Consider the following 26,207-nt stretch of genomic DNA (forward strand, 5'->3'; position numbering starts at 1 on the left):
GTGAGGGGGGGATAGCATTAGGAGATATATCTAATGTAAATGACGAGTTAATGGGTGCAGCACACCAACATGACACATATATACATATGTAACAAACCGGCACATTGTGCACATGTACCCTAGAACTTAAAGTATAGTAATAGAAAAACTATGATACTCTCCTACATACCATATCTGTACAAAAATTATAAATTTTAGATAACCATCCAGAGATATTTCTCTAATTCTTGGAAAAAATATCAACATTGAAAACATCAAAAAAATTAAACAGTTCTTTTTTCGTCCAAAAAACAAAAAAAGAACAATAGGTAATCCTCCCTAACTCATTTTATGAGGCCAGCATCATCCTGATACCAAAGTCTGGCAGAGATACAACAAAAAAAGATAATTTTAGACCAATATCCTTGATGAACATCGATGCAAAAATCCTCAATAAAATACTGGCAAACCAAATCCAGCAACACATCAAAAAGCTTATCCACCACGATCAAGTGGGCTTCATCCCTGGGATGCAAGGCTGGTTCAACATATGCAAATCAATAAACGTAATCCATTACATAAACAGAACCAAAGACAAAAACCACATGATTATCTCAATAGATGCAGAAAAGACCTTCGACAAAATTCAACACTCCTTCATGCTAAAAACTCTCAATAAATTAGGTATTGATGGGACGTATCTCAAAATAATAAGAGCTATTTATTACAAACCCACAGCCAATATCATACTGAATGGGCAAAAACTGGAAGCATTCCTTTTGAAAACTGGCGCAAGAGAAGGATGCCCTCTCTCACCATTCTTATTCAACATGGTGTTGGAAGTTCTGACCACTGGAATCAGGCAGGAGAAAGAAATAAATGGTATTCAGTTAGGAAAAGATGAAGTCAAATTGTCCCTGTTTGCAGATGACATGTTTGCATATTTAGAAAACCCCACCGTCTCAGCCCAAAATCTCCTTAAGCTGATAAGCAACTTCAGCAAAGTCTCAGGATACAAAATCAATGTGCAAAAATCACAAGCATTCCTATACACCATTAATAGACAAACAGAGAGCCAAATCATGAGTGAACTCCCATTCACAATTGCTACAAAGAGAATAAAATACCTAGGAATCCAACTTACAAGGGACGAGAAGGACCTCTTCCAAGAGAACTACAAACCACTGCTTAACGAATTAAAAGAGGACACAAACAAATGCAAGAGTATTCCACGCTCATGGATAGGAAGAATCAATATCATGAAAATGGCCATACTGCACAAAGTAATTTATAGATTCAATACCATCCCCATCAAGCTACTAATGACTTTCTTCACAGAATTGGAAAAAAAACTACTTTAAATTTCATATGGAACCAAAGAAGAGCCTGCATTGCCAAGATAATCCTAAGCAAAAAGAACAAAGCTGGAGGCATCACACTACCTGACTTCAAACTATACTACAAGGCTACAGTAACCAAAACAGCATGGTACTGGTGCCAAAACAGATATATAGACCAATGGAACAGAACAGAGGCCTCAGAAATAAGACCACACACAACTACAGCCATCTGATCTTTGACAAACCTGACAAAAACAAGAAATGGGGAAAGGATTGCCTATTTAATAAATGATGCTGGGAAAACTGGCTAGCCATATGTAGAAAGCTGAAACTGGATACCTTCCTTACATCTTATACAAAAATTAATTCAAGATGGATTAAAGACTTAAATGTTAGACCTAAAACCATAAAAACCCTAGAAGAAAACCTAGGAAATACCATTCAGGCCATAGGCATGAGCAAGGACTTCATGACTAAAACACGAAAAGCAATGGCAACAAAAGCCAAAATTGACAAATGGGATCTAATTAAACTAAAGAGCTTCTACACGGCAAAAGAAACTGCTATCAGAGTGAACCAGGCAACATACAGAATGGGAGATAAATTGCAATCTACCCATTTGACAAAGAAAGAATTCAAACAAATTTACAAGAAAAAAACAACCCCATCAAAAAGTGGGCAAAGATATGAATAGACACTTCTCCAAAGAAGACATCTATGCAGCTAACAGACACAAGAAAAAAAGGTCATCATCACTGGTCATCAGAGAAATGCAAATCAAAACCACAATGAGATACCATCTCACCCCAGTTAGAATGACAATCATTAAAAAGTCAGGAAACAACAGATGCTGGAGAGGATATGGAGAAATAGGAAAGCTTTTACACTGTTGGTGGGAGTGTAAACTAGTTCAACCATTGTGAAAGACATTGTGGTGATTCCTCCAGGATCTAGAACTAGAATTACCATTTGACCCAGCAATCCCATTACTGGGTATATACCCAAAGGATTATAAATCAAGCTACTATAAAGACACATGCACATGTATGTTTATTGCGGCACTATTCACAATAGCAAAGACTTGGAACCAACCCAAACGTCCATTAATGATGGACTGGATTAAGACATGTGACACATATACACCATGGAATACTATGCAGCCATAAAAAATGATGAGTTTATATCCTTTGCAGGGAGATAGATGAAGCTGGAAACCATCATTCTCAGCAAAACTATCACAAGGACAGAAAACCAAACACCGCATGTTCTCACTCATAGATGGGAATTGAACAATGAGATCACTTGGACACAGGGCTGAGAACATCACACACTGGGGCCTGTTGGGGGGTGGTGGGCTGGGGGAGGGAGAGCATTAGGAGAAATACCTAATGTAAATGATGAGTTGATGGGTGCAGCAAACCAACATGGCACATGTATACCTATGTATCAAACCTGCACGTTGTGCACATGTACCCTAGAACTTAAGGTATAACAACAACAACAACAGTTTCTTCTACCAGATGTCCTCAGTCATCTCTCTCAATTTCAAAGTTCCATAAATCTGTAGGGCAGGGGCAAAATGCCACCAGTCTCTTTGCTAAAGCATAGCAAGAGTGACCTTTACTTCAGTTCCCAACAAGTTGTTCATCTCCATCTCGGACCTCCTCAGCCTGGACTTCACTGTCCAAGTCACTATCAGCGGTTTGGTCAAAGCCATTCAACAAGTCTCTAGGCAGTTCCAAACTTTCCCACATCTTCTGGTCTTCTTCTGAGTCCTCCCAACTGTTCCAAACTCTGCACATTACACACTTCCAAAGTCACTTCCACATTCTCAGGTATCTTATAGCAATATTCCATTACCTCAGTATCAAAATCTGTATTAGTCATGGTTCTTTAGAGGGATAGAACTAATAGTATATATATATATGAAAGGGAGTTTATTAAAGAGAATTGAATCACACCATCACAAAGTGAAGTCCTACAACAGGCCGTCTGCAAGTTGAGGAGCAAGGAATCTAGTATTGGCTCAGTCCGAGAACCAACACCTCAAAAGTAGGGAAACCGACAGGCCAGCTTTGAGTCTCTGGATGAAGGCCTGAGAACCCCTGGAAAACAACTGGAGTAAGTCCAAGAGTCCAAAAGCCAAAGAACCTGGAGTCTGATATTTGAGTGCAGGAAGCATCCAGCATGGGAGAAAGATGAGGGCCAGAAGGCTCAGCAAGTCAGCTTCTCCTAACCTTCTTCTGCCTGCTTTATTCTAGCCATGCTGGCAGCTGATTGTATGGTGCCCACCCACATTGAGGGTGGATCTGCCTTTCCCAGTCCACTAAATAAATGTTAATCTCCTTTGGCAACACCCTCACAGACACAACCGGGAACAATACTTTGGATCCTTCAATCCAATCAAGTTGACACTTACTTCATATTAACCTTCACAATGTAATATTCATCCCATTTGTAATTTTTCTTTAATATACAAGCTCCTTGAGAACATGCACCATTTGATCTTGTCTCTCTGTTGTGTTGGGCGGCAGTGGAGAAGAGAAGAGTTAAATGTGTGGGTGTGGAATGAGACTGTCAGATCTGCATCTTGGCTCCCCTACTTATTGGATCTCTGTCCTTGAGTAAATTACTTAACATCTTTCTCAGTTTCCTTACCTGTAAATGAGTGGTGACATATATGGAACGTAGAACAAGAGCCAAGCAAGTATTCAGTAAAAGCTGATGTTGTTGCCTACCGTTTATTCTCAGTGTTTGGCATAGTAGCCGGCAAAAGGAAGAGGATTTTTTTTTCTTTTTTTCAGACAGTCTCCCCCTGTCAACCAGGCTGGAGGGCAGTGGTGTGATCTTGGCTCACTGCAACCTCTGCCTCTTGGGTTCAAGCGATTCTTCTGCCTCAGCCCCCTGAGTAGCTGTGATTACAGGCCTGTGCCACCACACCCAGCTAACATTTTGTATTTTTAGTAGAGATGGAGCTTTGCTATGTTGGCCAGGCTGGTCTTGAACTCATGTCCTCAAGTGATCCCCCCGCTTTGGCCTCCCAAAGTGTTGGGATTATAGGCGTGAGCCATTGGGCCCAGCCTGGAAATATTTTTTTGAAACATAACTGATAACAATATTTTTTGAAAGAATGACAGATACCAATCATGAAGGAAAAGATTTTCACAATTGACAATAAAAAACTTTAAGCTCTGAATGGTAAAAAGTGAGAAAATTAAAAGCCAAATTACAAATTGAAAAAACTAAAGTATATAAAACAAAGGTTTTCATTCTCAATTTGATGCAGAATCTTGACAAATCAAAAAGAACAAAAGGTGAACCCACCTAAAAGAAATAGGCAAAAAACTTTCAAGAAAAGCAGTTTACAAAATGCCAATGACTAATAAACATGGATATTTAACATCACTAGTATTCAAAGTACTTCATTTATAGAGATCCCTCCTTCACCTATCAAATTAGCAAAGATGAAAAAGGCTAGTAATACCAAGTTTTGAAGAGAGGTGAGAGGAAATGACAAGTTTATGTACCTTGGTAGGACATGATATTGTGGCAATATGTTTCAGAATACTCATAAATGTATATACCTTTTAGATCAACAATTACACTTTTAGGCTTAAGAAAATATGAAAATTAGGTACAAATATTTCTCTATATGTTCAACTAAGTATTATTTTTTTAATTAAAAAAAAATTTTTTGAGACAGAGTCTCGCTCTGTTGCCCAGGCTGGATAGCTCACTACAGCCTCTGCCTCCTGGGTTCAAGTGATTCTTCTGCTTCATGCTCCTGAGTAGCTGGGATTACAGATGCCCACCACCATGCCCGGCTAAGTTTTGTATTTTTAGTGGAGACGGGGTTTCACCATGTTGGTTGGCCAGGCTGGTCTTGAACTCCTGACCTCAAGTGATCCACCCTTCTTGGCCTCCCAAAGTGCTGGGGTTATAGGTGTGAGCCACCCATGCCCGGCCAATTTTTTAATTTAAAAAATATTTTTATAGCAGCCCAACTAAGTATTATTTTAATAGTAAATATTGGAGTTAACTTTAATTTTGAACAGGATAAGTAATCATGATGCAGCACATTGAATACTCTTTCATTAAGCTAAACAACTATTAAAAATGATTTACAAATACATTTACTGAAAAGAAACATGTTTGTGATATACAGTTAAGTGTAAAACAATTCAGGTTATAAGAACATATTAGGCCGGGTGCGATGGCTCATGCCTGTAATCCCAGCACTTTGGGAGGCCGAGGCAGGCGGATCACGAGGTCAGGAGATCAAGACCATCCTTGCTAACACGGTGAAACCCTGGCTCTACTAAAAATACAAAAAAAAATTAGCCGGGCGTGGTGGCGGGCGCGTGTAGTCCCAACTACTTGGGAGGTTGAGGCAGGAGAATGGCATGAACCCGGGAGGCAGAGCATGCAGTGAGCCGAGATTGTGCCACTGCACTCCAACCTGGGTGATAGAGCAAGACTCCTCCTCAAAAAAAAAAAAATAAAAGAACATATTGGTCAATATTCACTGATTTTTATAAGAATATTTGACAGAGAGAGGGGGAAGGGAAGGGAAGGGGGAGGAGAGGGGAAGGGAAGGGAAGGAAAGAAGGGAAGAAGGGAAGGGAAGGGAATATGGGTGGATTTATATCAAAAGGTTCAGAAGGAAATGATTCTTTTCTTCTGGATGTGACTATTGCAGATTTTATTTTTAACTTTTCCTCTTTTTCTTATTTATTTATATTTTCTTATTTTAAGAGAAACTATAAAACTATATATATTACTTTTCAACTTAAAAATAGTTTAGCGCTTCAATAATACAGAAGACTCAAACATTACAGATAATTAAAGCATTACTAAATGTGGAAATGTTTAGTTTCACAATTTCTGTAGTGATATTCAAGACCAGATATCACCTTGGGAATCAGAACTGGTGCAGGATCTTGTCCTAACACTACCAAAAAAGCATATGGCTGTCCCAGCTCTGTATGTTTATGTTGTCTTATAATAGAGCAACCAGTTGTTTATTAGGATGGCCAAAAAGGCACATTTCAAAAATGCCTATTGAAATATTAGTAGTACAAATAATACTGCTGCTTAATTTTTTCTAATTAGAACTGATAAAATTCAAAAGCAACATAAGCAGACAAATAGTAATAATATGGTTTATCAAATTAATTGTCACATGATTATTAAAGTGAGATCATGTGTGTTAAGTAGTGGTATCTTAAGCCACTGAAATATCTTCCTTGGTCTGGAATGAGCTTTCTATGGAGATTAAAAAGATGTTAAATTGAACAGTCTTGGTTATTAAATGAAGAAGCAAAGCCAGAAACCCTGTTTAAAGAACTAACAAAAAAGGTCATGAATGATCTGGTGGTTGTTATATTTTCTTGTTTACCCGAGGAGAAGACTATGCTCAAGCATGTATTGAATCCAGTGATAGCCAGAATGTCATCCATACTGCTAGCAGCCATTAGTAAGGTTGGAATGTCTTCCTCAACACCATATCCATTTTCTTGCGACACCATTGTGTAAAGGACAACAACAGCAGGAGAGACAGCACCTAGAACAAAACTGAAAGAAAGAATGAAAATTAATTTAAAAGCATCTTTTTAATCAAGTAGTGTTTTTTAAGTACAACTAGTTTATAATAAATTTATAACAAACATTGTTTAGAAGAATTTCAAATTTGAGTGAATGCAATTTAATGGTGATAAAACTTTTCATGCATTGTTTAGTGCTGGCTAAAATTTTATACAGACGTGGTTTAAAATGTTGGGCTGAGCACAGGTTGCAGCCTTTCCCTCTATTCCTAAATCCTTTGAAGTGAAGATGTAAAGGTAATAGAAAAATTCATAACCTAACTAGAAAGCAAAAGGTGAATCATCAATGGACAAGAAACTAAGTATATGCCAGAAAGAAAAGAGACAGACAATTTAGGATTGAAAAAAGGAAACCATAAACCAAAATGTGTGTAAATAAGATTGCCTCAAAAGATACATGTGCTTCTAAAAGTGGTCCAAGCCCTGAAATGACAGATGCTGGGAGCAGGAGAGACCTCTGGGGAAACCAAATAGTTGATTATTTGGAGTACCACTGTAAGAATGGTCAGACAAATCTACCTTCCACACATTTCCTACCTCTTGAGTAAATAAGTAAGTAAGGAAGGAAGGAACAGAGTTGTCTGCCCAAAAAAACAAGTGTGGCCACCTAAGTTACAAAGGCAAATGAGAACATTTCTGGAGTGGTTGATGACACCCATGAGAAATGGGGAGGCTCCTGCTCAGAATACCTTCTATTGGCATATCTTATCCAGAATTTCACCTCATCTCTTCTACATTTACTTTATAAAGCGTGAAGTATATCCTGTGTAGAAATGCTTTTGGTGCTCCTGCCAGAATCCATTTACCAGGTCAATGAACACATCTCCCAGTGATTCTTGTTGGCTGCTAATATCTGCAGGTTTCTAGAACCCTTGTCCTGCTGACAAGCACCTACCTGGGAATACTAGGAAGGTTGTGTACCCCTCTACTTTCCCTCCAGACAGCATCTGCCAATGACGGACTGATGTGAGATTTGCTTCTGGCTGTACAACTCTATGGCGCAGTTTATGCTACAGATTTCCCTGTGCGCTCAAGAAGAGACTAGACTTCTCTAAGACCACATACTGGTCTAGTTCAGTGGTTCCTGAACTCTGCTGCACATTGTAATCACCTGTTGTATTATTTTTCTCATTTTGCTTAACAAGTCATCCCCAAACATAGCAGCTTAAAACAACAAATATTTATTGTCTTATGAGTTCTGTGGGTCAGGAATCTGGGCATGGCTTAGTTGTATGCCTTGACTTAAGATTTCCCATGAGGTAGGGTGGGGTGGAGAAGATCTGCTTCCAAGTTTACTCATGTAGCCATTGCAGGCTTCAGTTTTTTCCAGTGGGGTTTTCTCCACAGGGCTGCCTCAGGACATGGCAGCTGGCTTCCCCAGGAATAAGTGATCAAAGAGAATTTAATCCACAACATCAATTAAAAACACAAAGTATCTAAGAACAAAACTGTGAAGACAGTCTATACTTTTATAAAAATTGTGAATATAATAATATAATAATTAAGATAATACCTGAATACTTAGAGAGACATTTCACAAGTGTGAAATAAAAAGCCCCAATTTTACCATCGCCCAACACCACGCCTGGCTAGTTTTTGTGTTTTTAGTAGATACGGTGTTTCACCATTTTGGCCAGGCTGGTCTTGATCTCCTGACCTCAAGTGATATGCCTGCCTTGGCCTCCCAAAGTGCTGGGATTATAGGTGTCAGCCACCACGCCCAGCCAAAGCCTCAATAATATAAAGATGTAATCTCTCCCCCAAATGAATTAATCAGAGATACACCAATCAAAATCATTGCAGGGATTTTTACTGAGCTTGACAAGCTGATTATAAAATTCATTTGGAAGAATAAGATCTTAGAATGAAAGATCAAGTAAACTTAAGAGAACAAGATACTGTTTTTGTAAAGGTAAAATAGTTAAAACTAAATAATAGTGACATATAAATAGACAAAATAAATTGGAAGAAAAGAGAATACAAAGTGTGGAAACAAATCCATGGGATTTGTTACATCATACAATTGGTATTTTAAATCAGTGGGAGAAAGAAAGAAATCTTTCACAAATGGTGTTGAGATAACTATTTATGTGGAAAGGAATATAGATAGATCCTTACACATAATAAATGTTAAAAGCTCAAAAGGAAAAGTAGTAATAAGAAAATGTTGTGGGCTAGGCGTGATGGCTCACACCTGTAATCCCAGCACTTTGGGAGGCTGAGGTGGACAGATCAGGAATCTGAGACCAGCCTGGCCAACATGGTGAAACCAATAGCTGGGTGCAGTGGTGCATGCCTGTAGTCCCAGCTACTTGGGAGGTTGAGGCAGAAGAATCACTTGAACCTGGGAGGTGGAAGTTGCAGTGAGCTGAGATCATGCCACTGCACTACAGCCTGGGTGACAGCAAGACTCTGAACAACAAAAAAAAGATGTAGAATAATATATTTGTGATCATGAGGTAAAAAGGACCTTTTGAATGATACATACAAAGGCATTAGACATAAAAAGAGATTTTGATACATTCAATTATATTAAAGTAGTACTTCAAAAGCAACTTCAAAAGTACTATAATAAAGTGCTACTTCAAAAGCAATTCTGCTCTTTCTCCCCCTTTTTCTCTTTTTCATTTTCAAAGTCAAGTGAACGGTGTTGTGTATTGGCAATTCTGTCTGTTGAAAATAACAAAATACACTTCTTAGAGTGAAAAAAAAATCATCACAAACAAAATTAAATATCTACTGATATTTGCAATACATATAATTTACAAATGCACATAACAGATATAATTAATAAAGAAGACCAACTCAACAAAAAAATAGACAAAAGATATGAACAGGCTAGTTACAGATAAGGAAAAGCTGAAGGACAACACATATATAAAAGATATTCAAGCTTGTGAATAATCACAGAAATGCAAATTAAAATAACAAAAATATGCCATTTTTTCAATTATCAGACTGGAAAACATTATAAAATTTAATAATATCAAGGATTTGCAAGGATTTTCAAGAACAACAGGTATGCTCATAAGCTATTGGTATTAGGGCAAATTAAAGTGGCCATACCGAAAGGATTTTCGCAGTATACATCAAACTAAAAATGCATGTAACCCAGGTAACTATTCTAGACAAACTTATATTTATGTAAAATGAGACAAATAAAATGCTATTTTTGTGATAACATTGTAAATAAAATCTGCTGTTGACATACAATGTAATCTTATACAACTAAAAGGAATAAACTACATGTGTATCCATCTTGAGATGGATAAACCTCAAGACTATTGTTGAGTGAAAAGAACAAATTGTAAAGTAAAATTTTCTTGGGTATGATTACGTAAAAATGTGCAAAATAATACTCTTTTTTTCTCTGGGTTCACAAATACATTTGTTAGAAGTCCAGAACATTATTTTTAAAGATCTAGAATGATAACATAAAACTCATGAAGATGCTGCCACTCTGTCTGCAGCAGCACATGAGTGCACCCCACAACACCATTGCCCCGGCTGGCACGTGCAAGTATGCAGAACACCCCATCCCACTCCTGCCGGCGCTGCACCCCTGCCAACACATGCATACCTGCTGTGTGCTGCTGCTGCTGGCACATATGTGTGAGATCACTACAATGAAGCACTTTGGCTGGCACACCCCATCAGAGTGTTGTTGCCAGTGGACTGGGAACACCTCAGTGCTTAACATTGAAGGGCCAGACAACAAATCTGTGAGTATGGTACCAGCCTTGCAAAGTTAGAGCACGCCGTTCAGGAGTGCTGAGCTGAGCCTTTGCCCCCTGAAATCTTCCAGAAATGAAGCCATTTGATTGAAACTACCTTGTGCCACAGTCAAACCCTCAAGGGCATTAAAGAATATAAAAAAGGAAAAAGCTCCATCCAAAGGACAGTGATTCAAAACATTAAAGGAACCTTAGCCCACACAGATGTGAAAGAACCAGTGCAAGAACTCTGGCAATGTAAAAAGCCAGAATGTCTTCCTGTCTTCAAGCAATCATACTAACTCTTCAACAATGGTTGTTAACCAGGATTAAATGACAGACATAGAATTCAGAATCTGGATAGAAACAAAGATCATTGAGATTCAGAAGAAAGTCAAAATCCAATCCAAATAATTTAAGGAATCCAATAAGATGACATAAGAGCTGAAAGATGAAATAGGCATTTTAAGAAAGAACCAAACTAAACTGATAGAGCTGAAAAATGCACCTCAAGAATTTCATAAAACAATAACAAATACTAACAGCAGAACGGACCAAGCTGAGGAAAGAATCTCAGATCTCAAAGACCACTTCTTTGAATCAACTCAGTCAGACGAAAATAAAGAACAAAAAAGAATGAACAAAACCTCTGAGAAATCTGAGATTATGTAAAGAGACCAAACATATGACTCAAGGCATCACTCAAAGAAAGGGAGAAAGAACAAGCAAGTTGGAAAACATATTTGAGGATACTGCCCACAAAAATTTCCCAAATCTTGCTAGAGAAGTCACCATTTAAATCCAGGAAATGCAGAGAATCCTGTGAGATACTATACAAGATGACCATCCCCAAGACAGACAGACATCAGATTCTCCAAGGTCAACATGAAATAAAAAAATATGAAAGGCAGCTAAAGTGAAGGGGCAGGTCACATACAAAGGGAATCCCATCAGGCTAACAGTGGAACTATAAGATACTCTACAATCCAAAAGAAATTGGGGGCCTATATTCAGCATTCTTTTTTTTTTTTTTTTGAGACGGAATCTCACTCTGTTGCCCAGGCTGGAGTGCACTGGTGCTATCTCGGCTCACTGCAACCTCCACTTCCCGGGTTCAAGCAATTCTTCTCCCTCAGCCTCCCAAGTAGCTGGGACTACAGGTGCGCACCACAACACCCGGCAATTTTTTGTAATTTTAGTAGAGACAGGATTTCACCATATTGGCCAGGGTGGTCTCAAATTCCTGACCTCGTGATCTGCCCACCTCGGCCTCTCAAAGTGCTGGGATTACAGGTGTGAGCCACCATGCCCGGCCTTCAGCATTCTTAAAAAAAAAAAATACTTGGCCGGGTGTGGTGGCTCATGCCTGTAATCCCAGCACTTTGGGAGGCTGAGAGGGGTGGAACACAAGGTCAAGAGATCAAGACCATCCTGGCCAACATGGTGAAACCTCATCTCTAATAAAAATACAAAAATTAGCTGGGCATGGTGGTGCGTGTCTGTAGTCCCAGCTACTCGGGAGGCTGAGACAAGAGAATCACTTAACCCAGGAGGTGGAGGTTGCAGTGAGCCGAGATAGCACCACTGCACTCCAGTCTGGGGACAGAGCAAGACTCTGTCACAAAAAAAAAAAAAAAAAAAAAAAAAAAATTCAACCAAGAACTTAATATCCAGCCAAACTAAACATATGTGAACGAGAAGTAAGATCCTTTTCAGACAAACAAATGCTGACGGAATCTGTTACCACCAGACATGCCTTACAAGAGGTCCTTAAGGGAGTGCTAAGCGTGGAAGTGAAAGACTGTTAATGGCCACCACAAAAATACATTTAAGTACATAGACCATTGACGTTGTAAAGCCTGCATAATAACAATCAAGTCTGCATAATAACCAGCTAACAACATAATGGCAGGACCAAAGCTATAAATACCAATATTAACTGTGAATGTAAACAGTATAAATGCCCCGCTTAAAACTCACAGAATGGCAAGTTGGTTAAAGAAGCAAAGCCCAACCGTATCTGTTGTCAAGAGACCCAGCTCATATGCAACAATACCCATTGGCTTGAAGTAAAAGGATGGAAAAAAATCTACCAAGCAAATGCAAAACAAAAAAAGGTAAGCATTGTTATTCTAATTCAGACAAAATAGACTTTAAACCAACAACAATCAAAAAGACAAAGAAGGGCACTACGTAATGATAAAGGGTTCAATTCAACAAGAAGACTTAACTGTCTGAAACATAAATGTGCTCAAAACTGGAGCATTCATATTAGTAAAACAAGTTCATAGAGACCTATAGAGAGAATTAGATAACCACAGAATAATAGTGGGAGACTTCAACATCTCACTGACAGTACTAGACAGATCATAGAGACAGAAAATGAACAAAGATATTCAGGACTTGAAGTCAACACTTGGCTAAATGGACCTAACAGCCATCTACAGAACACTCCACCCAACAACAACAGAATATATCTTCCTCTCATCTGTACATGGCATATATTGTAAAATTGATCACACTATCAGTCTAAAATTATTTTCAATAAATTAAAAGAAACCCCTGAAATCATGCCAACCACACTCTTGGACCACTCAGTGTAACAAAAATAGAAGTCAACACTAAGAAGAACTCTCAAAACCATACAATTACATGGAAATTAAACAACCTGTGCCTGAATGACTTTTGGGTAAACAGTGAAATTAAGGCAGAAACCAATAAATTCTTTGAAACTGATTAAAACAAAGATACAACATTCTAGGCTCTCTAAGACACAGGCAAAGCATTGTTAAGGGAAAAGTTTATCGTGCTAAATGCCCATATTGAAAAGTTAGAAGGATCTTAAATTAACAACCTAATATCATACCTAAAGGAAATAGAAAAACAAGAGGAAAAGAAACCCAAAGCTAGCAGAAGAAAATAAATAACCAAAATCCGAGCAGAATGGAATGAAACTGAGTCATGAAAAGCCATACAAAAGATAAATGAAACTAAAAGCTGGTTCTTCAAAAGAATAAATAAATTTGATAGGTCACTAGCTAGACCAATAAGGAAAAAAAAAAGAGAAGATACAAAAAACACAATCAGAAATGGTAAAGTGGACATTACCGCCAACCACACAGAAATATAAAAAACTCTCACAGACTATGATGAACATGTTTATGCAAACAAAGTAGAACACCTACAAGAAATGGGTAAATTTCTGGAAACATACAACCTCCCAAGATTGAACTAGGAAGAAATTGAAATCCTGAACAAACCAAAAACGAGTTTTGAAACTGAATGAGTAATAAAAAGTCTCTGAGCCAAAAAAAAAAAGCAAGCCCAGGACCCAACAGATTCACAGACAAATTCTACCGGAAGTGTAAAGAAGAGCTGGTACCAATGCTACTGAAATTATTCTGAAAAAAATGAGGAGGAAGGATCCCTCCCTAACTCATTTTATGAGGTCAGCATCATTCAGATATGAAAACCTGGCAGAGACACAACAAAAAAGAAAACTTCAGGACAGTTATCACTGATGATCATAGATGCAAAAATCCTCAACAAAATACAAGCCAACTGAATCCAGCAGCATATCAAAAAGCTAGTCTACTATGATCAAGTAAGCTTTATCCCTGGGATGCAAGTTTGGTTCAAGATATACAAACCAATAAATGTGATTCATCATAAAATAGAACTAAAAATAAAAACATCCCTTCATGATATAAACCCTCAACAAATGAGTTTCTGAAGGAGCATACCTCAAAATAATTGGAGCCATTTATGACAAACCCACAGCCAACTTCATACTGAATGGGAAAAAGCTGGAATATTCCCTTTGAGAACTGGAACAAGACAAGGATGCCCACTCTCACTACTCCTATTCAACATAGTGCTGGATGTCCTAACCAGTGCAATTAGGCAAGAGAAAGAAACACAGACATCTAAATAGGAAGAATGGAAGTCAAACTATGCCTCTTCATAGGTGAAACAGTTTTATACCAAGAAAACCCCATAGTAGCCTCTCGAGAGCTCCCAGATCTGATAAATGACTTCAGCAAAGTTTCAGGATACAAAAATCAATGTACAAAAATCTGTAGCATTTCTATACACCAACAACATCCAAGCTGACAGCCAAATCAAGAATGCAATCCCATTCAGAGTAGCCACAAAAAAACCACAAAATACCTTGGAATACAGCTAAGCAGGGAGGTGAAAAATCTATAAAATGAAAATTACAAACGAGTGCTCAAAGAATCAGAGACAACAGAAACAAAAGGAAAACATTCCATGATCACAGATAGGAAGAAGCAATATTGTTAAAATGGCCATACTGTCTAAGGCTATTTACAGAGTCAATGCTATTCCTATCATAACACCAATGACATTTTTCACAGGATTAAAAAAAAGCATTCTAAAATTCATTTGGAGCCAAAAAAAAAAAAAAAAAAAAAAAAAGCCCAAATAGCCAAAGCAATCCTAAGCAAAAAGAACAAAGTCGAAAGCGTCACACTACCTGACTTCGAACTGTACTACAATGCTACAGTAAGCAAAACAGCATGGTTATGCTCAGCAAAAGAAATAATCAGCAGAGTAAAAAGACAACCTACAGAGTGGGAGAAAATCTTTACAAACTATGCATCCAGCAAAGTACTAATATCCAGAATCTATAAGGAACTCAAAAACAGACATAGACCAGTGGAACAGGTTACAGAACACAGAAATAAAGCTGCACAGCTATAGCCATCTACTCTTCAACAAACTTGACAAAAACAAGCAATGGGGAAGGGAATCCCTACTTGGAAATTGTGCTGGGATAACTGGTTAGCCGTATGCAGAAAATTGAAACTGGACTCCATACATTTCACCGTTTACAAAAATCAACTCAAGGTAGATTAAAGACTTAAATGTAAAACCCAAAACTATAAAAACCCTGGAAGATAGCCTAAGAAATACCATTCTGGACACAGGCCATTCTGGACATATCCTAGGAAATTTCAATTCTGGAAAACACTTTATGACAAAGATGCCAAAAGCAATTACAACAAAAACAAAAATTCACAAATGGGACCTAATTAAACTAAAGGGCTTCTGCACAGCAAAAGAAATCATTAACAAACAACCTATGGAATGGGAGAAAATATTTGCAAACCATGCATTCGACAAAAGTCTAATATCCAGAATCCAAAAAGAACTTAGAAAAATCAACAAGCAAAAATCTAACAACCCCATTAAATGGGCAAAGGACAGGAAAAGACACTTCTCAAAAGAAGACAAACAGGTAGTCAACAAGTATACGGAAAAATATTCAACATCACTAATCATTAGAGAAATGCAAAACAAAAGTGCAATGAGATACAACCTCACAGGAGGCAGAATGGCTATTATTAAAAAGTCAAAAAGTAATAGATGCGGGCAAGCTTGGGGAGCTACTCCCAGGTTTTTGGAAGGCTGAGGCATGAGAATTGCTTGAACCTGGGAGGCAGAGGTTGCAGTGAGCTGAGATTGGGCCATTGCAGTCTAGCCTGGGCAACAGAGCAAGACTCCATCTCAAAAAAAAAAAAAAATACAGAAAAAGAAAAAAAGAAAAACCCACAGTCAACATTATACTGAATGGGGAAAAGATGAAAGCATTCCCCCGAGAACTGGAACAAGACAAGGTTGCCCACTTTCACCACTTCTATTCAACATAGTACTGGAAGTCCTAGCCAGAGCAATCAGACAAGAGAAAGAAATAAAGGGCATCTAAATCAGTAAAGAGGAAGTCAAACTGTTGCTGTTCCTGATGATATGATCATATAATGAGAAAACCCTAAAGACTCATCCAAAAAGCTCCCAGATCTGATAAATGAATTCAGTAACGTTTCAGGATACAACATCAATGTACACAAATCAGTAGCACTGGTATACACCGACAGTGACTGAGCTGAGAATTAAATCAAGATCTCAACCCCTTTTACAACAGCTACAAAAAAAAAACAAAACAAACAAACAAACAAAACCAAAGAAAAAACCCCAAGCAAACCAACTTAGGAATATACCTAACCAAGGAGGTGAAAGACCTCTACAGTGAAAACTACAAAACACTGCAGAAAGAAATCATAGATGACACAAACAAATAGAAACACATCACATGCTCATGGATAGGTAGAATCAATATTGTGAAAATGACCATACTGCCAAAAGCAATCTACATCATCATTCTTCCCCGAACTAGAAAAAGCAATCCTAAAATTCATGTGGAACCCAAAAATAGCATGCATAACGAAAGCAAGACTAAGCAAAAAGAACATATGTGGATGCATCACATTGCTTGACTTCAAGCTATACTATAAGTCTATAGTCACCAAAGCAGCATAATACTGGTATAAAAATAGGCACATAGACTAATGGAACCGAATGGAGAACCGAGAAATAAAGCGAAATACTTAAGCCAACTGATCTTTAACAAAGGAAACAAAAACATAAAGTTGGGAAAGGACACCATATTCAACAAATGGTGCTGGGATAATTGGCAAGCCATATGTAGAAGAATGAAACTGCATCCTCATCTCTCACCTTACACAAAAATCAACTCAAGATGGATCAAAGACTTAAATCTAACACCTAAAACTATAAAAATTCTAGAAGGTAACATTGGAAATACCCTTCTAGATATTTGCTTAGGCAAAGATTTCATGACCAAGAACCCAAAAGCAAAGGCAACAAAAACAAAGATAAATAGATGGGACTTAATTAAACTAAGAAGCTTCTACACAGCAAAAGAAATAATCAGCAGAGTAAAAAGACAACCTACAGAGTGGGAGAAAATCTTTACAAACTATGCATCCAACAAAGTACTAATATCCAGAATCTATAAGGAACTCAAACAAATCAGCAAGAAAAAAACAAATTATCCTATCAAAAAGTGTGCTAAGGACATGAATAGACACTTCCCAAAAGCAGATATAAATGGCCAAGAAACATGAAAAAATCCTCAATATCACTAATTATCAAGGAAATGCAAACAAAACCACAATGCGATACCATCTCACTCCTCCAAGAATAGCCATAATCAAAAAATTAAAAAAAAATAGATGTTGCCATGGGTGTGGTAAAAAGGGAACACTTTTACACTGCTGGGGGGAATGTAAACTAATATAACCACTATGGAAAAGAGCATGAAGATTTCTTAAAGAATTAAAAGTAGATCTACCATTTGATCTAGCAATCCCACTACTGGGTAGCTACCCAGAGGAAAAGAAGTCATTATATGAAAAAAAACACTTGCACACACGTTTATTGCAGCACAATTTGCAATTGTGAAAGATATGGAACTAGCTCAAATGCCTATCAATCAATGAATGCATAGAGAAAATGTGGTGTATATATATATGTGTGTATATAGACACATATATGTGTATGTGTGTATATATATATACACACACAGACCAGGGACGGAATACTACTCAGCTATAAAAAGGAATGAAATAATGGCATTCACAGCAGCCTGGAAGGAGTCAGACACCATTATTCTAAGTGAAGTAATTCAGGAATGAAAAAACCAAACATTGTATGTTCTGACTTATAAGTGGGAGTTATGCTATGAGGATGCAAAAGCATAAGAATGATACAATGGACTTTGGGGACTTAGGGGGAAGAGTAGGAGGAGGGTGAGGGATAAAAGACTACACCTCGGGTGCAGTGTACACTGCTCTGGTGATGGGTGCACCAAAATCTCAGAAATTACCACTAAAATATTTTCCATGTAAACAAACACCACCTGTTCCTTAAAAACTAATGAAAAAAATAAAAAAGACATGAGATCAACCTAAATGCCCATCAATGGTGAACTGGATAAAGAAAATGTGGCACATATACACCATAGAATAATACACAGCCATAAGAAAGAACGAGATCATGTCCTTTGGAGCAACGTGGATGGAGTTGAGGCCATTATGCAAAGTGAATTAACACAGGAACAGGAAACCAAATATCCCATATTCTCACTTATAAGTGGGAGCTAAACACTGAGTACACATGGACAGAAAGAAGGGAACAATCGTCACTAGGTGAATTTGAGGGTGGAGGCTGGAAGGAGGGGGAGAATAGAAAAACTACCTATTGGGTATTATGCTTACAACCTGGGTGACAAAATAATCTGCATACCAAACCCCTGTGACATGCAATTTCTCCATATAACAAGCCTGCTCATGTACCACTTGAGCCAAAATAAAAATTGGAGAAGAAAAAAACTCCTAAGGGTTGTCATTTTGGGTAGAGTTATGGGCATTATGATTTGAAGCCATAGTTTAAGGTCATTCCTCCTTTATTTATAAAGTTCTAATTTTTAAAATAAAAGTGCATTTGAGTATTTTATCATAAACATTAATTTAAAAATTCACTGGATTTTGTAGTAACTATGTAATGGATGAACTTTGCTATGAGTGTCATTGGAATGGATAAGCAGAGACAAAAGTTGATGAATTAAGAAGTGAAAAGGAGTTAGGATCTAGAGACAGTAGTTATAGACTTATTTTGAGGAATTCAAACATGAGACAAATGGATGGTAGATAAAGATGGATGGGGCACTGGATATACAGCAAGAGTTTTTGTTTGCTTTCTTTAAAATGGGAGAGTTTATATTTATACACCTATGTCTATATAAAATGTTTATCATATATATATACACACATACATATATATGAAATGTGCAACTGTATTTACATATAGCTATGAGGAAGAGGCCATTAGATAGATTAAAACATACAGATATGTTATAATACAGACGAAAAGGAATAAATTGATCACGTGAATTTTCTTGATGATAAACATTTAGGGGCTATGAATGTTTGCTAAAAAAATTTCGTGCAATTTGGGACATGCTCTGCTTTTAATCAACTGCTTTCCAAGGATTTTAACACTGTGAAATGAATTTTAATAGAGCTTTTCTATACAATATTCTGAATATTTTAACAGTTTTAACCAAGCATCCTTAATTGAATATTTTCACAAGAAAAAATGAGAAAGAAATTACACTAATAGAATTGCCAATTGACAGGGAAATTTCATAATGAAGTGGGAAAAAACAGCAGCTGCACTTGCCTCCATAAGGCGTGGACCTACAGCCAATCTGAAACAAACCACCTTCAAATGCCTCAAAGCCTGAAACAGAAAGCAGTCACATTTGATACATTTACAATGGCCAACAAGAAAATTATTTTAACAAATGTTGGACTATAAAGTCTTTTTTCATAAGAAGCTTTCACTAAACAAAATCTCATTTCAACAGATTGTCCCACTGGACTTTGAACTCTATTATATTTTATATGTCATCATAGGTTGGATTATAAACAATTTCATCTTTTATAAAATATTACTGTATTTTAATTATTAAAAGATCAATTTTACTGTGATTAAATAGCTAAAGCTACCTTCCTGAACTTTCCTAATACGTAGTATAATAATAGTGTCCTATTAGTGTTTTCCCATTAACTTTTTGATATGAACTGTTTGATTAACTTAATAAGTATAAATACAATACTAACATGCCAAAGAAAATAGCTTAAAAACTGCATAATTCATTTTAAAAGGGAGAACTTTTCAATTTTCTCCTTGGTTCATACTTTCTACTGGAGAATATAATCTCATTGGCTATAATTATTTATGCTCTTGAGCTATTTCTATTAAACCACATTTGCCACATTTATTTGAGTGGCTGTCATATTCATGAATAGTCATCTTCTTATAGATGGGATTTATGATCCCTAGAATGTAATATTTTAAGAAATGCTTTAAAAGATTAGATTTTACAATAATGCAAAGATAATCAGGAAAATAATCCTGTAGAGAAAACGTCATAAAAAATTACTGAAATCCTTCATCTCCCTAAGAAAAGAAAAAGAATTGTATAAGGTTTTTCTTATAAAACCTTTGTTTGTTTTGTTTTGTTTTTTGAGACGGAGTCTCACTCTGTCCCCCAGGCTGGATTGCAGTGGCACTATCTCAGCTCACTGCAACCTCTGTCACTCAGGTTCAAGCGATTCTCTTGCCTCAGCCTCCCGAGTAGCTGGGATTACCAGGTAAATGCCACCATGCCCGGCTAATTTTTGTAGATTACAGGCATGAGCCATCATGCCCGGCCTTTTTTTCTTTATCTTAGGTTTGTTTACAGACTCCACTTGGAACAGGTAAATAAAATATGTGCTTCTTTTTCTTTCTCACCATCCTCTAATATTTGAAATAACCTTACTCGATTTGTAATTGTAAAATCTACCTGTGGATCGAGTCCAAGCCCAACTCGTATTAGAATAATGTTAAGGGCAATGCTTCTTAAAATTGAAGACCATGCGTTAGGAACATGGACATGTTCATTGATGAATGGAACATTCCTAATTGTAAAACCAGCCAGTAACATCCCTTAAAAGAAAGAAAATAAACATACATGACAGTTCATTTTTCTGAGAAAGAAAACAGAAATGTTTACTTTATTTTCTAATGCACTATGTCTCTCATTATTTTGGTAAAGGACAGGTTACAAGCAAGTAGAGAAGGCAGCATGAATAAAGGAATGGTGATAAGAAACAATACACCTAAATGGGGTTCAACAAGTAATTTAGTGTTGCTGGAACATACAGGACAAGGAAAGGAGGGAGGAGAATGAGCTTGGTGGGCCAGATCATAGAAAGGTCTCCCCCCACTTTGGCAAAGTAAGGCACCATGGGAAGGTTTTAGGCAGGAAGTAACATAATGAGTCTTGCGATTTTTATATGAGGGTCTTGGTGAATTAGTTAGGGATAAAACTGGAGACAGAGACCAAATTGAAGGCTCTGCCACAGTCCACGCAAAAGTTGGAAACAAATAGCCTAAGCTAGAGCAAAAGAGAAAGTTTGGAGAGGAGGAAAATGATTCAATAAATACTGAGAAGGTGTTGCAAGAAAACTGTGGATACAGAAGGGACAGCAGAGATAAGATGTAGAGATTATCTCTACTGACAGTGTACTGAATATATATTTATTTTTGGGGACAGGGTCTCATTATTTTGCCCAAGCTGAGTGCAGTGATGCAAACATGGCTCACTGTAGGCTTAACCTCCTGAGCTCAAGTGATCCTCTTGCCTTAGCCTCCTGAGTAGCTGAGACCCAGAAAAATTTTTAATATTTTGTAAAGACAAGGTCTGCTATGTTGCCCAGGCTGGTTTTGAACTCCTGGGCTCAGGTGATCCTCCTGCCTTGGCCTCCCAAAGTGCTGGGATTATGGGCATGAGCCACCATGCCTGGCCCACTGTACTGAATATTTAGATATATTTGAATACAGTAAGTTCTCACTTAACATCGTCGATAGGTGATTGGAAATGGCAACTTTGAGTAAGATGGTATATAACAAAACCAATTTTAGCATAGGCTAAATGATATAAACAAGAGTCAATTTCCTATAGCATATTTCTGGTCACAAAACATCACCAAACTTCTAAATAAAGATCCAAAACACTTCTAGTATTAAACAATGAAATAAATGTGAGCTCTACATACATTTTACAAAGTTTTATAAAAACAAATAAGATAATTCTTTACTTAATTTTTGGTGAATCCACGAGTGATGGTGGTTATAGCAGTGATGGTTAAAATCAAAGAATAAATGTTTACAAAGTGAAAATTTTAAGGAGCACCTCCTCCCACTATGCAGTTCAAAAACAAACACAAATATGGTAGGCTGGCTGAGAGTTTTCATATCACATTGTTTATTGTCTTGCATTTGTATGGTTATCATATACTTAACAAAATTTTATTTTACAATAATTTATATTCATTCATTTATTCATTGTACAATCCACTAGTTCAGGGTCATTGTACAATCCACTAGAATGCTAGTTCAGGGTCAAAGGTGACTGAAACTCAATCCAAAAAAATCAAGGAGGGACTCCCTCCCTAACACATTCTATGAATCTAGTATCACAATTGTACCCAAATCAGGCAAAGCCATACACACACACACACACACACACACACAACTGGTCAATATCCCTGATGAACATAGATGCAAAAATTCTCAACTAGCAAAATGAATTCAATAGTACATCAAAAAGATAATATAGTTAAGTGGGTTTTACTCCAGAAATACAAGGATGGTTCAACATGTGAATCATTCTTCCATAAAGACATATACACACATATGTTCATTGTGGCACTATTCACAATAAAAAGACATGGAATCAACTTAAATGACTAAATAAAGAAAATGTGGTACATATACACCATGGAATACTATGCAGTCATAAAAAAGAATGGCATCATGTCCTTTGCAGCAACATGGATAGAGCTGAACACCATTATCCTAAGTGAAATAACTCAGAAACAGAAAAATCAAATACCACATGTTCTCACTTATATGTGGGAGCTAAACAATGGGTACATATGGACATAAAGATGTAAATAATAGACACTGGGGAGTCCAAAAGGAGAGAGCGTTGGAGGGTTAAGGTTGAAAAATTACCTATTGGGTATAGTATTCACTGTTTGCTGATGGGTTCACTAGAGCCCAAATCTCACCATTATGCAATATATCCATGTACCAAACCTGCACATGTACTCCATTTATCTAAAATTTTTAAAGATTCTATTAAACAATAAAGCAACAGGAATAATGTACTAAGGATATTAAATTTACTTTAAAAATAAATTTTGGATAAAACTTGTGTGTGTATATATGTAGACAGAGAGAGAAATAAATGCCCCTATAAAGGAGCTGTACACACACACACACACATGAAGAAACTATATAAAACATACTACATTGAAATATTTCTGAATTATAACTAATTCAACAAGAAAATGTTCAAAATTTGCATATAGTCAATAATAAAGAAAAGAGAGCTAATTATATACTTACCAAGAAGAGGTGGAAGTGGAGGCACTAAAGGTATTCTAATGAGTTGTAAAATTTTTCCCCCACTAATGGCACTATAAAAAATAATTAACAATCCAAATAAATTTCCACCAGGGAGAGCTTCAGAGCCTAAGATTGACCAGGTCATACACCATATCACAAACAGTGTAACTCCTGAAATACAAAGAAGTGTACAGCTATATATCTACATACACATAGATGTATACAAACAAAGGATCAATTCTCTTTTATCATATATACTAATAGCCAGTTCTATAAAATGATACATGGTATAGATCAACATTGCTTACTAGTTTGGTGAAAGAGATATCTGCTTAACATATATTCCAAATAACCTGTCAATTTATGAAGTAGGTTTTAAACAAAGTGTTTTCACTTTAAAAATATTTAAAAACTATATGTGGGCCAGGTGCAGTGGCTCACGCCTTAATCCCAGCACTTTGGGGGGCTGAGGCAGGCTGGATCACATGAGGTCAGGAGTTTGAGACCAGCCTGGCCAACACAGTGAAATCCCGTTTCTACTAAAAACACAAAAATTAGCCATGCGTGGTGGTGCATGCCTGTAATCCCAGCTACATGGGAGGCTGAGTCAGGAGAATTGCTTGAACCCAGGAGGTGGAGGTTGCAGTGAGCCAAGATTGTGCCACTGCACTCCAGCCTGGGTGACAGAGTGAGACTCAGTCTCAATAAAAAAATTAAAAAAATTAAAAAAAAACCTATATGTGAACTCTTGAAAATGCTAACTTATAATATATGATAGTTAAAAACATCATGGCAATATGATGAGATTTACTTCATTTTATATTTTAAAATAGCTTTTTCATCAGGATGGAAAATAAGAGGATGATTGGCTGTGATAAGAATTCACAACCTTATTGAAGATCACAGTGTCAAGGTGCCAAATCTTTTAACAGGAACCTGCTAAATCTTTTTATTGAAAGGATAATTCAACTGATATTTGGCATAAATGTATTATAGGAGGTAATGGCTGGAAGAAATGAACCTAGATTTTGTGGGAATAAATATAAAGTATCTTAGATTATGTGTAGGAGGTAGAGGTAGATTAAGATGAGTAGGTATAAGTTACTAGACATCTTGTTTCTGGCAACTAGGTGCTACTCACTGAGGAATCCACAGGTTTCTGTAAAGGACAGACAATAACATGGTAAATTTCCATTTGCTAATTAAATGGCTACCTTTATTTGCCATGAATCATAATTGCTAATGCTTTTAATATTCTTAAAACAGCTTACATGAATTTTTTAGCTATGATCCCTTTCTGGCTGTATAGAATTTGCCAGGGTAGAAGAGGAGGATTTTGACTCACTCCAGGCAGAAAGTTAGAACAAAGTTTCTTTCCTCCTCCCGTCTGATTATTGTCATCCTGCAAAACTGGAAGCCTTGGAGGGCTAAACTCTTACTAAAATAATGGACCAGGCTGGGCATGGTGGCTCACGCCTGTAATCCCAGCACTTTGGGAGGCCGAGGCGGGTGGATCACCCGAGGTCAGGAGTTCAAGATGAGCCTGACCAACACGGTGAAACGCTGTCTCTATTAAAAATACAGACAATTAGCCTGGCCTGGTTGTGTATGCCTGTAATCCCAGCTACTTGGGAGGCTGAGGTAGGAGAATTGCTTGAACCCAGGAGGCGGACATTGTAGTGAGCTGAGATGGCGCCACTTCCCTCCAGCCTGGGTAACAAGAGCAAAACTCCATCTCAAGAAAAAAAAAACAAAACAAAACAAAAAAATAAAATAAAAAACACGGACCAGAAAATGTCATCCTACTGACAAATTGAGAAGACAAGGCAGTTTGTCTTAGCTGGTCTCTGTGCGGCCAAGTCTTTTTTGAGAATTCATATGTAAAACTGGCCTCATCCAACTTATGCGTAGGGCTCAAATTATATTACGTGCACAGGTTAGGGATCCCAAAGTTCTAAACCTACCATAAAAGTGTCCCTGCATAGAAGTATCCCTAGAACACTTAGTAGATGCTAATTCAAAAAATCTCTAATAGACACTCCTGATCCCAGACTGCATAAAGTCTCAAAGGTAAAGCCAAGTGAATCTGAACTTAAAATAAGAAGAAATATTCCATGAGCAAAAGTTAACAGATACAACAAAGAATGGGATTAGATGTCTAAAAACCTCAGCTAATAGAACCACTAGATAGACACTATAAAATATGTATTTTCAAAGAGACTAGAGACAATTTTTAAAAATTGGAGACATGAGAAGAAGAAATTACTTCATGTCCAAAACACCAAAAGCAATGGCAACAAAAGCCAAAATTGACAAATGGGATCTATTTAAACTAAAGAGCTTCTGCACAGCAAAAGAAACTACCATCAGAGTGAACAGGCAACCTACAACATGGGAGAAAATTTTCGCAACCTACTCATCTGACAAAGGGCTAATATCCAGAATCTACAATGAACTCAAACAAATTTACAAGAAAAAAACAAACAACCCCATCAAAAAGTGGGCAAAGGACATGAACAGACACTTCTCAAAAGAAGACATTTATGCAGCCAAAAAACACATGAAAAAATGCTCATCATCACTGGCCATCAGAGAAATGCAAATCAAAACCACTATGAGATATTATCTCACACCAGTTAGAATGGCAATCATTAAAAAGTCAGGAAACAACAGGTGCTGGAGAGGATGTGGAGAAATAGGAACACTTTTACACTGTTGGTGGG

General features: G+C 37.1%; 1 pseudogene, besides 1 other annotated feature; it reads right to left on the bottom strand.

Annotated features, from left to right (window-relative positions):
* SLC9B1P4 (solute carrier family 9 member B1 pseudogene 4) overlaps positions 1-23,663 on the bottom strand; it is a 48,121-nt pseudogene extending 24,458 nt beyond the window's left edge.
* Positions 19,622-19,822: a silencer, noted in NCBI's record as "peak4435 fragment used in MPRA reporter construct". NCBI's record gives its function as "represses an SCP1 promoter by STARR-seq MPRAs in K562 erythroleukemia cells {active_cell/tissue: K562}" and the evidence as "EXISTENCE:reporter gene assay evidence [ECO:0000049][PMID:32103011]".

The sequence above is a fragment of the Homo sapiens genome, chromosome 22 (genome assembly GCF_000001405.40).
Source record: "Homo sapiens chromosome 22, GRCh38.p14 Primary Assembly".
In the NCBI taxonomy this organism is placed as follows: domain Eukaryota; kingdom Metazoa; phylum Chordata; class Mammalia; order Primates; family Hominidae; genus Homo; species Homo sapiens.